At 33.5% G+C, this 12420-nt stretch overlaps 1 protein-coding gene and 1 long non-coding RNA gene across 5 annotated transcripts in view; one reads left to right on the top strand and one right to left on the bottom strand.

Moving 5' to 3' along the window:
• Positions 1 to 12420, bottom strand: part of STPG2-AS1 (STPG2 antisense RNA 1) — a 123239-nt gene that overhangs the window by 18283 nt on the left and 92536 nt on the right. Inside the window, exon 4 of the long non-coding RNA NR_102713.1 lies at positions 8290 to 8337. This is a non-coding gene — a long non-coding RNA (STPG2 antisense RNA 1). The remainder of the gene's footprint in view (positions 1 to 8289; positions 8338 to 12420) is intronic.
• Positions 1 to 12420, top strand: part of STPG2 (sperm tail PG-rich repeat containing 2) — a 702228-nt gene that overhangs the window by 671595 nt on the left and 18213 nt on the right. The window lies entirely within an intron of this gene.

The raw sequence follows: 12420 nt of genomic DNA, 5'->3' as shown, positions 1-12420 counted from the left end.
TCGAGTCATATGAAACTGAAGGAATAGCATTACTCAGATAAATCTATAAACACTCAGAAAATGTTTTTTTCAAATTCCATTCATATTGTATTTATAATATTAATCCTTAACTGATATAAACTTCTTCTTGGAATATTAAGTTTTATTTTTCCCAACATTAAAACGTTGTCTTAAAATGAATTTTAAAATAAGAAGTCAATAGGATGAACACACAATTGCAGCTGTTCTGGGAGAAAGTTGGGTGCTGATCTTTTTTCCCACTTCTATTTAGTTCCTCCCCTAAGATGGTCCCTCAGGCACCTTCTCAGAATATCTATGGATCTCCAGAGAAGTATTTCAGTATTTTGCTGCAGATAAAATGTATACCATGTACAAGAATCACTTCAATTACTTAAAGTATTCTAAGATTATTTGCAAAACATTGAATTATTAGCAATAGCATTATTATTCTAATAATATGAATATGACTATTTTTATTGTTTCAACTAGAGATTGTGGCCAGGAAACATTTACTCAGATAACTGACACAGTTTAAACTCTGTGATAATCAATATATTGTACATGACATAGTAATATGTAACAATTCTATAAAGATGCACATTTCACCATAAATCAAGTACAGTAGCTCCCCACCCCTTGTCTGTGGTTACGTTTTCTGCAGTTTTAGTTACTTACCCAAAGTAAACTGTAATCCAAATATACTAAGTGGTAAATTCCAAAAATAAATAATTAGTAAGTTTTAAATTGCCATTCTGAGTAATGTGATGAAATCTCAGGCTGCCCTGCTCCATTCTTCCCAGGATGTCAGTCATCCCTTTGTCCAGTGTATCTAGCTGTATACACTACCTACTCATTAGTCATAAACATTGACATCGACACTGTCTGCTCCTAATACCCAACCATCGATATTGTAATGGCTTGATGATCCAGGATCAACCAAAGCAGATGATCCCCAATCTGACATATCATCAGAAAGTCAATAGTAGCCTAATGCTACAGCGCAATGCCTATGTCATTCACCTCACTTCATCTCATCACAATGCCTATGTCATTCAGCTCACTTCATCTCATCACAATGCCTATATCAGTCATTCACCTCATCTCATCTCATCTCATTGCATTTTATCATCTCACATTATCACAAGAATTGTGCATACAGTACAATAAGATATATTGAGAGAAAGAGAAAGACCACATTCATATAACTTTTATTACAGTATTTCATTATAATTGTTTTATTATTATTGTTGTTAATTTCTTATTGTCCCTAATTTATAAGTTAAACTTTATCATAAGAATGTGTATAAAAACAACAACAACATAGTATATACAGTGTTTGGTATCATCCATGATTTCAGACATCCACTAGGGGTCTTGAAACATATTCCCCACAGATGAAGGGGGACTACTATATATTAAAGATTACATGTTGTATAATGTATTTTGAAAGCTAGTATAATATATTTTAGGAAAAATATATAATGTGCCAAATTCTTCCTTGCAAAATAATTTTACCCCCACACTATAAAACACAGAAAATGTTTAGTGAAAATCTTTGAAAATGTAGTACAAACCAGAAAGGCAAATGTGCCTCCAGTCTCAGTCAGCTGTGTTTTAAAATCACCCAACTCTCATTAAGAGGATTCATCTATCATATTTCTCTCATCTCAATGCCTTCTTACTTTATTTTATTGTTAATTCTCTCTCTCCTGAGGGAGAAGGCTGGAATTAAAAATCAGAAAATAATTGTCCTGAATCTGACTTTCATTTTATTTTATAAGATGGAAATAAGCATAAACCATCTACAATCATAGCTCATCATATGCAGTGGTTTCAATAGGATTCACTGTTACATAAGGATATTTTTTACTCATGTAAATTTCTATTTCTTTATTTACACATAGCTCCTAGAAATAAGACATGCTCAAATTAAAATCTCTTTAATTGTCTGTTCATTTGGTTACTGGTCCTTTATACTCTCTCCAGTCGCTCTCTCACTACGTCCTGACCTGCACATAAAACACAACCTTTTTTTGGCACACATGTTCCCACTTGCCTTTTTGACTTCTTGACATGGAGATTTCTGCCTCTATGTTTTAGTTTCTGTGTCTGTGTCTTTCTGTGGTATTTCTTCAGCCTCCCTTTTTGGCTCTATGAGCTTGGTCTTTCTGCTTGGTTTTGCTTGGGTCTCTGGTTTTTGTCTTCCTTGAGGTCTTGGGTCAGAAACAACTAATTTTATATCTCATGAATCTTAGATGCAAATGTACGACTGCCGCTCTCTTCCTTATCCTAGCATCCCTCAGACATATTATACTCAGAATGTCCAGAACTGAACCTAGTATCTTCCTCTCTGATTCTGCTCTCTCACTGTACTTTCTCTGTTGGCAACATCCTACCAGTTATATTTGGTTCCTTCTTCTACATTACTACCATTAATAATGGGGCAACCCAATGTTTCTGTCAAGCCTATCATCAACATTTTCTTCCAGCTGTTACAGATTAGCTTTATCAATATTCCTTCATTTCTGGTTTTGGTTCATTTCATTCCAAAAAAAGTAGAGAATGACTACAGTTATTTCAAATCCAAATTATTTAGCATGAACTCAGTTCTTTAATGTATTAACATGCATTTAAAAAATTTATAAATGTCACTGGGTTGTTATTTTAGAAAACTGAGCATTCCCTTTAGCCAATAAACAGGTGGATTTTAATAGCACTACCTGAATACCATGGTGGTGCATGTTTGCCTGAGTTTAAAACAAAATGCTTCCAGATATGTGAGAGTATTACCAACCTTTGTTTTTCTCATCCATATTTCATAGAAAAGTGGCAGCTAATTCAATTGTATAGACCAACATACTATAATATTTTGAAGGCAGTAAACTTTGGTTGTATGTGTTTTTTATTTTGGTTCTGTTGTAGTTTTTATATCTGTGTGGAAAGAGAAGCCAGATAATCAAGGGGGGAGAGCTTGTGTTTCTTAGTTATCTGTGAGAAACCTTAAAGTAGCCTGACTAAATAAAACTGCTTTTCTTAGGTATCTTTTTCTTCATTCTCCCATTCCACTGCATAGGCCAAATCACTATGAGGCTATTTGACACATGGAAGAATTTTCTCTGCCTAAGGAGAAGGAAATAGTATTCATCTGAACTGGGAGGGAGTAGATTTGCTGTTCTATAGTGTTTATAGGGCATAGGAAAAAATTTAATAGTCTAGGGATTCTATTTACAATGACCACCTCCAGAAAATCTGCTTGGACTGGTTATTACCACGTTTAACTATCTTTTCTTCTGAAAAGCGAAGGTGCCAGATACAGAGCGTTATAAAGTAGTGCATGCAATACATTTAGGAATGTGAGAAAGAGAAATGGAATAAAGCACAAAAGGAGATGACTGATGCTTGTATGGAGCTCCCATTTAGGTGACGTCAGTTATAGCAACCTGTGCAATTAAGCTCATTTTCGGATAGCACAGAAGGCACTAGAGTTTTCCTTTCTTCTTGATAATCAATCAGAAAAGAAAAGAATGTGCTTATTTTTGATTAATTAAAAAATAAACAAACTTGGTTAGGTATAGATATGTATTTTTAAAACCCAAAGAAATAACTTTCAATCATTGCTTTCAAAGATTAATAAAACGTAATGCACGAGTTTGTCACTGTCACAAATTTTTGAAGAAACCATTACATTGGAAAAAAAGTTTGACAAATATTTTGTGTACTAACTGATCTCTTAGAGTCTTATAAACTTTAATCTAGATATAGAAGCTTTTCTTTTACTTTTTGTTGTTTAAACAAGAAATTAGTGACGGACTGTTAAAGTATAATTTAATCACTGGATTAATTGTTTATGAGGATATGTAGCAAAATCTTTAAACATGCTAATGCCTCTCTTTTTCCTATCAACTTACTCTCTTAGAGATAATATAATGTTTATTCTCTACAGTCTATGTAGTATGCCACATAAGAACCTCACCTAGGAACAAATCCATTCTTAATGCAGTAGGTAGAGTCCTATCCCATCTTAAAAAAAAAAAAAAAGCAAAAGCAGCTTTAATAACTAACAGCCATATTCTTACTCAAACTATGAGATGACTTATAGAGTACCTGGTAGTGTTCCTTGCTCTCTATCTAATTATTTTGCATTAGCCTACTCTGTGTTTGCGTTTATCTCCTGATCCAGTCAACAAAACAATCTAAATTTTTAGCCTATTTGCCTACTTTCTCATAATGGTTTTTTCTCCATTTCCATTTTGAGTATAGTCAGTTAACAGACTGGTTTCTTTTTAATAGGCTTTATGAATCACTTTATTATTAATGTGCCTTGTGGTTCATATAACATGAATACTGTATGAATGTAAAATGAATTCTTGAACTCATTATATATGTAATTTATTTTAAAGTTGAAAACTTCATTTGGCGAATCATCCTCTGGTTATTCTGTTTTACTCTTGCCATTAGTATTGAATGATGATGCTTGGGATTTTTTTTTCTATATGAATAAAGGAAGAAGAGTATTTGATTATGGTAATATATGATTAAGAATTTATATGCTTTTTACCCAATTTAAAATATTAAAATCATCAAATTAAAATCATATACTTTTAACATTTTAATTTATCAAATGATAAACCTCTTTTATGATTGCCATGAAAATGAAAAATACTCATTTTGTAAGGTTTTAAATATACTCAGATTTTGATTGTAATAAAGTCAAAGTAATGTCTGGTTAAGGCTTCCCCAAAAGATAGGGTTAAATTCAGTGGCTATGCAATTCTTGTGACCTTTTTCAGATATTGGAGATAACTTAGTCATTTTCCATTTCTCAGCTGTAGTATTTCTTTTGAATGTTGTGAACTTTTTAAAAATGTCACTAAAATGTTAACTATTTTTTTTCTTCACACATTTGTCGGTTTTGACTATAGTAGCTTGGGTGCTAAAAAGTCTATTGCAAATATCTTTAACAAACTCTGTAACTATTTCTCAACTTATAGGTAATCCTGTTTCACACTTGAATGCATGATATATGACATCAAATAATCTATGATCTAGTTTTCTGAAATGACATGGAGAAAGATCACTAGTTTCTTTTTCTAATATTCATTAATTTACCAACTTATTCAAGCAGCTCATATTTTGTTCTTATATTTCTGCTATGTTTACCTACATTTTGGATGATTTTGTTAAACTCTGGGAAGGTATGAATAATATAACCATAAACGATGGAAGAAACTCACAAAAGAAAAATGTAATAGACATTCATCTAAAAAGTTAAAACTTTTATATGAAAAATAAATACTTAAAATCCACAGAAAGAAGTAGAAACAGAATATTAGTAAATACCACAGATAACTAACAAATGTTGATGAGTTGCTACGTCCCAAGCCCCTTTCTAAGAACTGCTCACTTCCATTAATGGAAAAGGAAGCTGAGCACCTAGCCCCATTCACAAAACTATTAAGAGGCAGTGCTTGACTCTAAATGTAGACAGTATAGTTCAAGAAACCATACTCATCTTAACCATTATCACTAAGAGTTAACTGATTAGGGCATATCTAGATAGTTGGAAACAAAAGTGATGCAGATGTATCCTAACTTCTATTAATTACACACTCAGAAAGGCTGTATAAACACAAAAATTTCTATCTCAGACAAATAGACTCTACGGCCTTGGTGCTACAAGTTGGATATGGCTGGATATTTTGTACAGGAAAAATTCAAATGGTGGGCTTGCATAAATCATAGGTATGGATATGCTTTTTTATTACCTTTTGGTATTATAATACATAGATATAAAGGATTTATTTAAAACCCTGGAACCTTGTAGAAGCAAACACAAAACTTCTCCATTGGGCTATTTTTGGTTTTGAACAAATTTTTCTTTCCTAAACTCTAAAAATGAGTTAACAACAACAACGACAACCAAAAAGTTACAAACCACTGTAAGGAAGAATAAACACATGTAAACAACAGGAGAATTAATATACTCAAGAACATTACAGTTCACCCTCTGTCTCTGTGGGTTCCTTATCCACAGATTTCACCAACCATGGATCAAAAATATTGGAGAAAAACATCAAAAAGTACAATTCAACAGCAAAAATGATACAAATAAAAATATACAGTATAATGACTATTTATATAACATTCACATTGTATTAGGTATTATAAGTAATCTAGAGATGATTTAAAATATATGAGAGGATGTGCATAGGTTATATGCTCATATGATGCCATTTTATATCAGGAACCTGAACATCTAAGGATTTTGGTATGCACTGGGGTTCCTGGAACCAATCCCCTATGGATACAAGAGAATACTGTATAAGATAAAAGAATCTGATAAGAGTTTATGAAATATATGATTCATATGATTAAACAAATGATATAATAGAACACAGAAGGAAAAACCTGGAAAGCATATATACACAAAGAACAGATATATTTTTCAAATATCCAAATAGACTTCTGGATTCAGCTCTAATATATAAAGAGCTTGAAAGTCATCACTCTTGTCTTTACAATAAGAAAAATCTGGACAAAATGAAAAATAATGACTTCATTTGGACCCATCTAAAAACAAGTTGCAGTAACAGCCACGACTTTGAAATCTGGATAGAGACAAATACAGAGTGATACAGCAAATGAGATCAGGAGTTGAAGCCATTGGATCCATCAACTGAGAGGAATAAGTACAATGGTAATTTTGACAAATTGCTGGAGGCTGATCCAGAACTAGCCTGGTAATTAGAAAGCGCCAGGCTTTCTAACCCACATATTCATGTGCTTTCTCTCTAGTAGCTCACCAACAAGTTCTCCTAGCCTGAATCCTGGAAAGTTTCCTTCAAGGGAGAGAAGAGTAACCATTATGAAGTAAGACTGTAACCTTTTCCAAAAAAAGTTATGCTTTCCAGGGGAAAGAACTTAACCTAATACAATTCTGAAACTATTCCAGCTGAAGAAAACAGAGGAGCAGAAAAAAATCATGACTTTTTTTAAGGGTGTATGTGTTGAGTACTATAATTGAGTGGACATAAATATGATCTTTTATGACTGTTGATATATACCTATGCAAGAATACATTTAGATTTCTTGCAAATATTCTGTTAAAGAATAATTCAATTCACCCACTATTTATCCCTACTATTATATGGTGACATGTACCAGGCAAGTACCAGTGACAGGGTAAATAAGCATGTAAAAATATGAGGAACATTTGGGAGGCCAAGGCAGGCAGATCACCTGAGGTCAGGAGTTGGAGACTTGTCTGGGAAACCTTGTGTCTACTAAAAATACAAAAATTAGCTGGGCATGGTGGTGTGCACCTGTAATTCCAGCTACTTGGGAGGCTGAGGCAGGAGAATTGCTTAAACCCAGGAGGAAGAGGTTTTAGTGAGCCAAGATCACACCACTGCACTCCAACCTGGGTGACAGAGCTGGGTGAACTGCTGGTGAGGATGAAGAACAACACTGACTGGAATAGAATTAATTCCAGAATGAACAGTGGCACCACTACTAGTTTGGAAGATAGTTTGGCATCTTCCAAAGTATTAAGTAATCTCTAGATTACTTATAATACCTAATGCGATGTAAATGCTATATAAGTAGTTGTTATACTGCGTACTTTCATTTGTGTCATTTTTTACTGTTGTATTGCATTTTTATGTTTTTCCCCCAAATATTTCACAAACTTTTTATAAAATTTTTTACAGAGCTAAATGTAGCTTTACTGTACAATCCAATGATTGTGTTCTTAGGTGTTTACCCAACTGATTAGAAAACTCATGTCCATATAAAAACCTTCATGCAAATATTTACAACAGCTTTATGCAAAATTGCCAAAGACTTGAAGAAACCAAGATGTTGTTCAGTAGGTGAATGGAAAATCAAATTTTGGTACATCTATGTAACGGAATACTATACAGCAATAGAAAGGAGTGCGGTATAAAGCCACACAAAGACCTGATCTACTAAATGTAATATGGTATCAAGATGGGATCTCAGAATAGAAAAAGAACATTCGATGAATGCTAAGGAAATCTGAAAAAACATATGGTGTTACTAAACAGTAACGTATCAATATTGATCCATTAGTGATAACAAATATACTAATGTAAGATAATAACAATAGGAGAGGCCGAGTATAGTGGCTCACGCCTGTAATCCTGGCACTTTGGGAGGCCAAGGCAGGCAGATCACCTGAGGTCAGGAGTTCAAGAACAGCTTGGCCAACATGGTGAAACTCCATCTTTACTGAAAATACGAAAATTAGCCAGGCATGGTGGCACATACCTGTAATCCCAGCTAGTTGGGAGGCTGACACAGGAGAATCGCTTGGACCTGAGAGGAAGACGTTACAGTGAGTCGAGATCACATCATTGCACTCCAGCCTAAGTGACAAGAGTGAAACTCCTTCTCAAAAACAATAAACAAAAAACAAACAACAAAAACACAATACAAGAAAGTGGTATAGTATATACAGAAACTCTCTAATATCCTTTCTACTACTTTTCTATAAACCTAAAGGTATACCTAAATAAAATGTTTATTAAAAGCTAATAAAGCGTCCGAAATTTATATATAAACATGTGCATAAATTCATTTAAATAAAAAAATTGTAGTGGCTAGGTACAACTGAGCAAAGAAGTAAAGGTAAATGTGAGGTATCGGTTACAATACAATTCAAAAAGATAAAGAGATGAAAAATGTAAAAGACTGCTTGAAAGCTGGATAATATTTCAGAAGAGCAAGGGTAACAAAAATAAAACATGAAAAAATTATAATTTACCACATTTGCATACAGAATAATGGTGAAAAATTATGTGATCATCTTAATAGATTCAGAAATAAAAGGATAAAATTTATGCTCATTTATTGTAAATGACTTAACAAATGAATAGAAAGAAATATATAATCAGATAAAGAAATTTTTAAAAATCATAATGGTGAATTATTTTCTGTGTGTCACTGGGAAGTCATCAGGAATGCCAGTTATAACCACTGCTATTCAATTCTATACTGGAGTTCTCAGTCCATACAATAAGGAAGAAATAAAATTGCAAACATCTGCTGATAAACACATTTTGAAATTTAAGAGTCCAAAATAATCTGTAGGTAAGGTACATGAAAATAAATGAGTTTAGCACAGTCAGTGAACAAAAATAAATTAAAATTTATAGCTATCAGCAACAAATTATTGGAAAATAAAATTTTAAAATGTCATGCCAATGATATAAAAAAAAATACCAAAAAGAACTAACAAAAGATGCACAAGACCTCCAAACTGACAACTACAAAAAATTATTGACAAAAACTAGGAATTATATAAACAAATAGAAGAAGGTATTATGATTATACATTCAATATTTTATGGATGCTAGTTTTCCAAAAATTGACCTTTAAATAAATTCAATGTAATCCCAATTAAAAATCTCAGCGGATTGTATGTGTGTGTGAAAATTGACATGCTGATTTAAAAATTTATATGAAAATTTATATAGAATTTGATAATGAGAGCAATTATGAATAAGAAAATAGCTTAGAGAATTTACATACCAAATATTAAGATTTATATAAAACTAATATAAGTAAGACAATATGACATTGACATAAAAATAAAGAGACCAATGGGAGAAAAGAGCACAAGTAACAAATAGAGCCATAAATATGTAGGACAATGGAAAGTTGGTCTTATCAATAACCAGTGCTCATTCAACTGGGTTTCCATATGGAATGAAAAGAATTTTGAGTACTATCTTACACTACATACAAAATTGATTCCAGATGTGTTGTTGATCTAAGAATGAAAAAAAAATCAAGATTCTAGAAAAGAAGAAGTAGGAGACTATCTTCATGAGGTTAAGTTAATGAAATACTTCTTTGAGAGGACACAAAAAATGCTAACTAATAATAAAAAGATGATATATTGAATGACATTCAATAAAGAGTATCTATTGATTAAAAGATACCATTAAAATGAATGGAAGGGCATGACACAGAGAAGAGTGAAGATATCTAATTATAGATATCTAGAAATGAATCTAGAAATGAAGTTCTAAAAATAGATTTAAAAGAGGCAGACAGCCAATAAAAATGGACAAAGACTTGAACAGGCACATTAAAAAGAAAAAAGGATATGCAAATGGAAAGTTAACATATGAAAACGTTCTCAACTTCATTATAAGTGATAAACAAATTAAAACTACAGTGTTTTTGTTAGTCAGTTTGGGCTGCTGTAACAGAATACCATAGACTGGGTGGGTTATAAACAACAGAATTCTTTTTCTCGCAGTTTGCTAGAAATCTGAGATCCATGCGAGCATGGTTGGGTTCTGGTAAGGGCCCTCTTCTGGGTTGCAGACTGCTGACTTCTTGTTTTCTCACATGATGAAAAGAAAGCTAGCTAGCTCTCTGGCCTCTTCATAGAAGGGCACTTATTTCATTCATGAGGGCTCAACCATCGTGATCTAATTACCTCCCAAAGTCACCACCTCCTAATAACATCACATTGCAAGAGGTAGGATTTCAACATATGATTTTTGGGTGAAGCACAAACATTCTGACCATAGCAGTGTTATACTACTTTATTCCCATTAGCATGGCTAAAATGCAGAGAGAGAGAGAGAGATAAAGAGAAAGAGAGACAACCAAATGTTGGAAAAGATGTGGAGAAAAATGAAACTCTCATATGCTTTACTTGGTAGATTCTGTAAAACTAAATGTATAAATAGTTTATGACCCAACAGTTACTCTTTTGGGTATATAATGAAATGGAATGTGTATATATGTGCACCAAAAGGCATGTGCAATGATGGATAGAAACACTATTTTTAATAGCTAGAATTGGAAACAACCCAGAAATGGCCATCAGAAATAGAGTGGATAAAATACATTGTGGTGTATTTATAAAATGGAATGAAGAGGAGAACTGAGCATGAATGTTATATGCAACCACATGGATCCATATTACAAGCATAATGTTGAATGAATGAAACCAGACTCAAGAGCAAATTTTCTGTGTGATTCCATTTATCTAAAGTTCAATATTAGGCAATGGTGATCTAATAATAGTGTTAGAAGTCAAGTTTCTTGTGGCTATTGCAGGCTCAGGAGTGCATATGGGAGTTGTGACTGGGTGTGGGAACATAAGAGCGTTTTGGAGGACTGGTGATACTTTGTTTTTGATTGGGTGCTGCTTACACAGCAGTGTTCATTTTTTGAAAATTCATTAAATTATACTTGTGCAATTTTCTATATGTATGTTATGCTTTTAATAAATGTTTCCTTGGAGAAATACATGAAGAATAGTTTAAGAAGGTTAAACATGCCTAATAGCAGTTCCAAGAAAAAAGGAAAGAAAATGGAGAAGAGATGCACAAAATAATCTTAGTTGAGATTGTCCCAAAATAAGTGAAGACCTAAAGTCTCCAGAATTACAAAAAATAAAAATAAAAAAAAAAGAAAAATAATTCAAATGTCTATGTCAAGAATAGATCTAAGTACTATAGAACCAATAGACAAAAACAGCTTCCAGGAAGCTAGATAAGAACCAAAGCAAAATACAAAATAAAATATATAACATGCCTATTGTAATAAATAGAAAAAAATAAAGCAGAGAAGGAAGCTATCACAGGTCTGAGGAACAATATTGAAATTTTAAATGGGGCTTCTGGGGAAAACCCTACTGAGTATAAAGGGATATAATATAGGGGTGCAGATGCAGGAAAGTGGGTGGTTGTACTAGTGGGGGGTTGATGGAAGAGGAGAAAGTGGAACTTTCTTCTATAACCACTGTAGCTAATTCTCTGTAGTTAAACTATAATTCAATTACTAATTACCTGATTGTGATGTGAATGGCCTAGTGTTATAACTCTGTAGAGCTTTAGTAAGTGAAGCATAATGTTGCTTCTACTATCATTCTCTAATTATTTGAAAGAGTGAAATATCCAAGAAACATAGCAAGACTGACAGAGAGGAAACAGAAAATGCTTCTCTGTAGTACATGTGGATAGAGTTTATGCAAATAAACTCGGTGATTAGAAGGACCCAATCAACACACTAATATAGATTTTACAAAACTCGAAGTGAAAAATAAATCTGAAGCCATCTAAAGTAGAAACTGACATTGTTAAAAAGAGGCATCCTGGCCGGGCACGGTGGCTCACGCCTGTAATCCCAGCACTTTGGGAGGCCGAGGCAGGCGGATCACGAGGTCAGGAGATCGAGACCATCCTGGCTAACATGGTGAAACCCTGTCTCTACTAAAAATACAACAAAAATTAGCCGGCCATGGTGGTGGGCAGCTGTAGTCCCAGCTACTGGGGAGGCTGAGGCAGGAGAATGGCGTGAACCCGGGAGGCGGAGCTTGTAGTGAGCCGAGATCACGCCACTGCACTCCAGCCTGGGCGACAGAGCAAGACTCTG

This window comes from Homo sapiens, chromosome 4 (assembly GCF_000001405.40).
Source record: "Homo sapiens chromosome 4, GRCh38.p14 Primary Assembly".
Lineage (NCBI taxonomy): Eukaryota > Metazoa > Chordata > Mammalia > Primates > Hominidae > Homo > Homo sapiens.
Note: the sequence above shows the minus strand (reverse complement) of the source record. Positions and strands in the feature narration are given on the sequence as shown.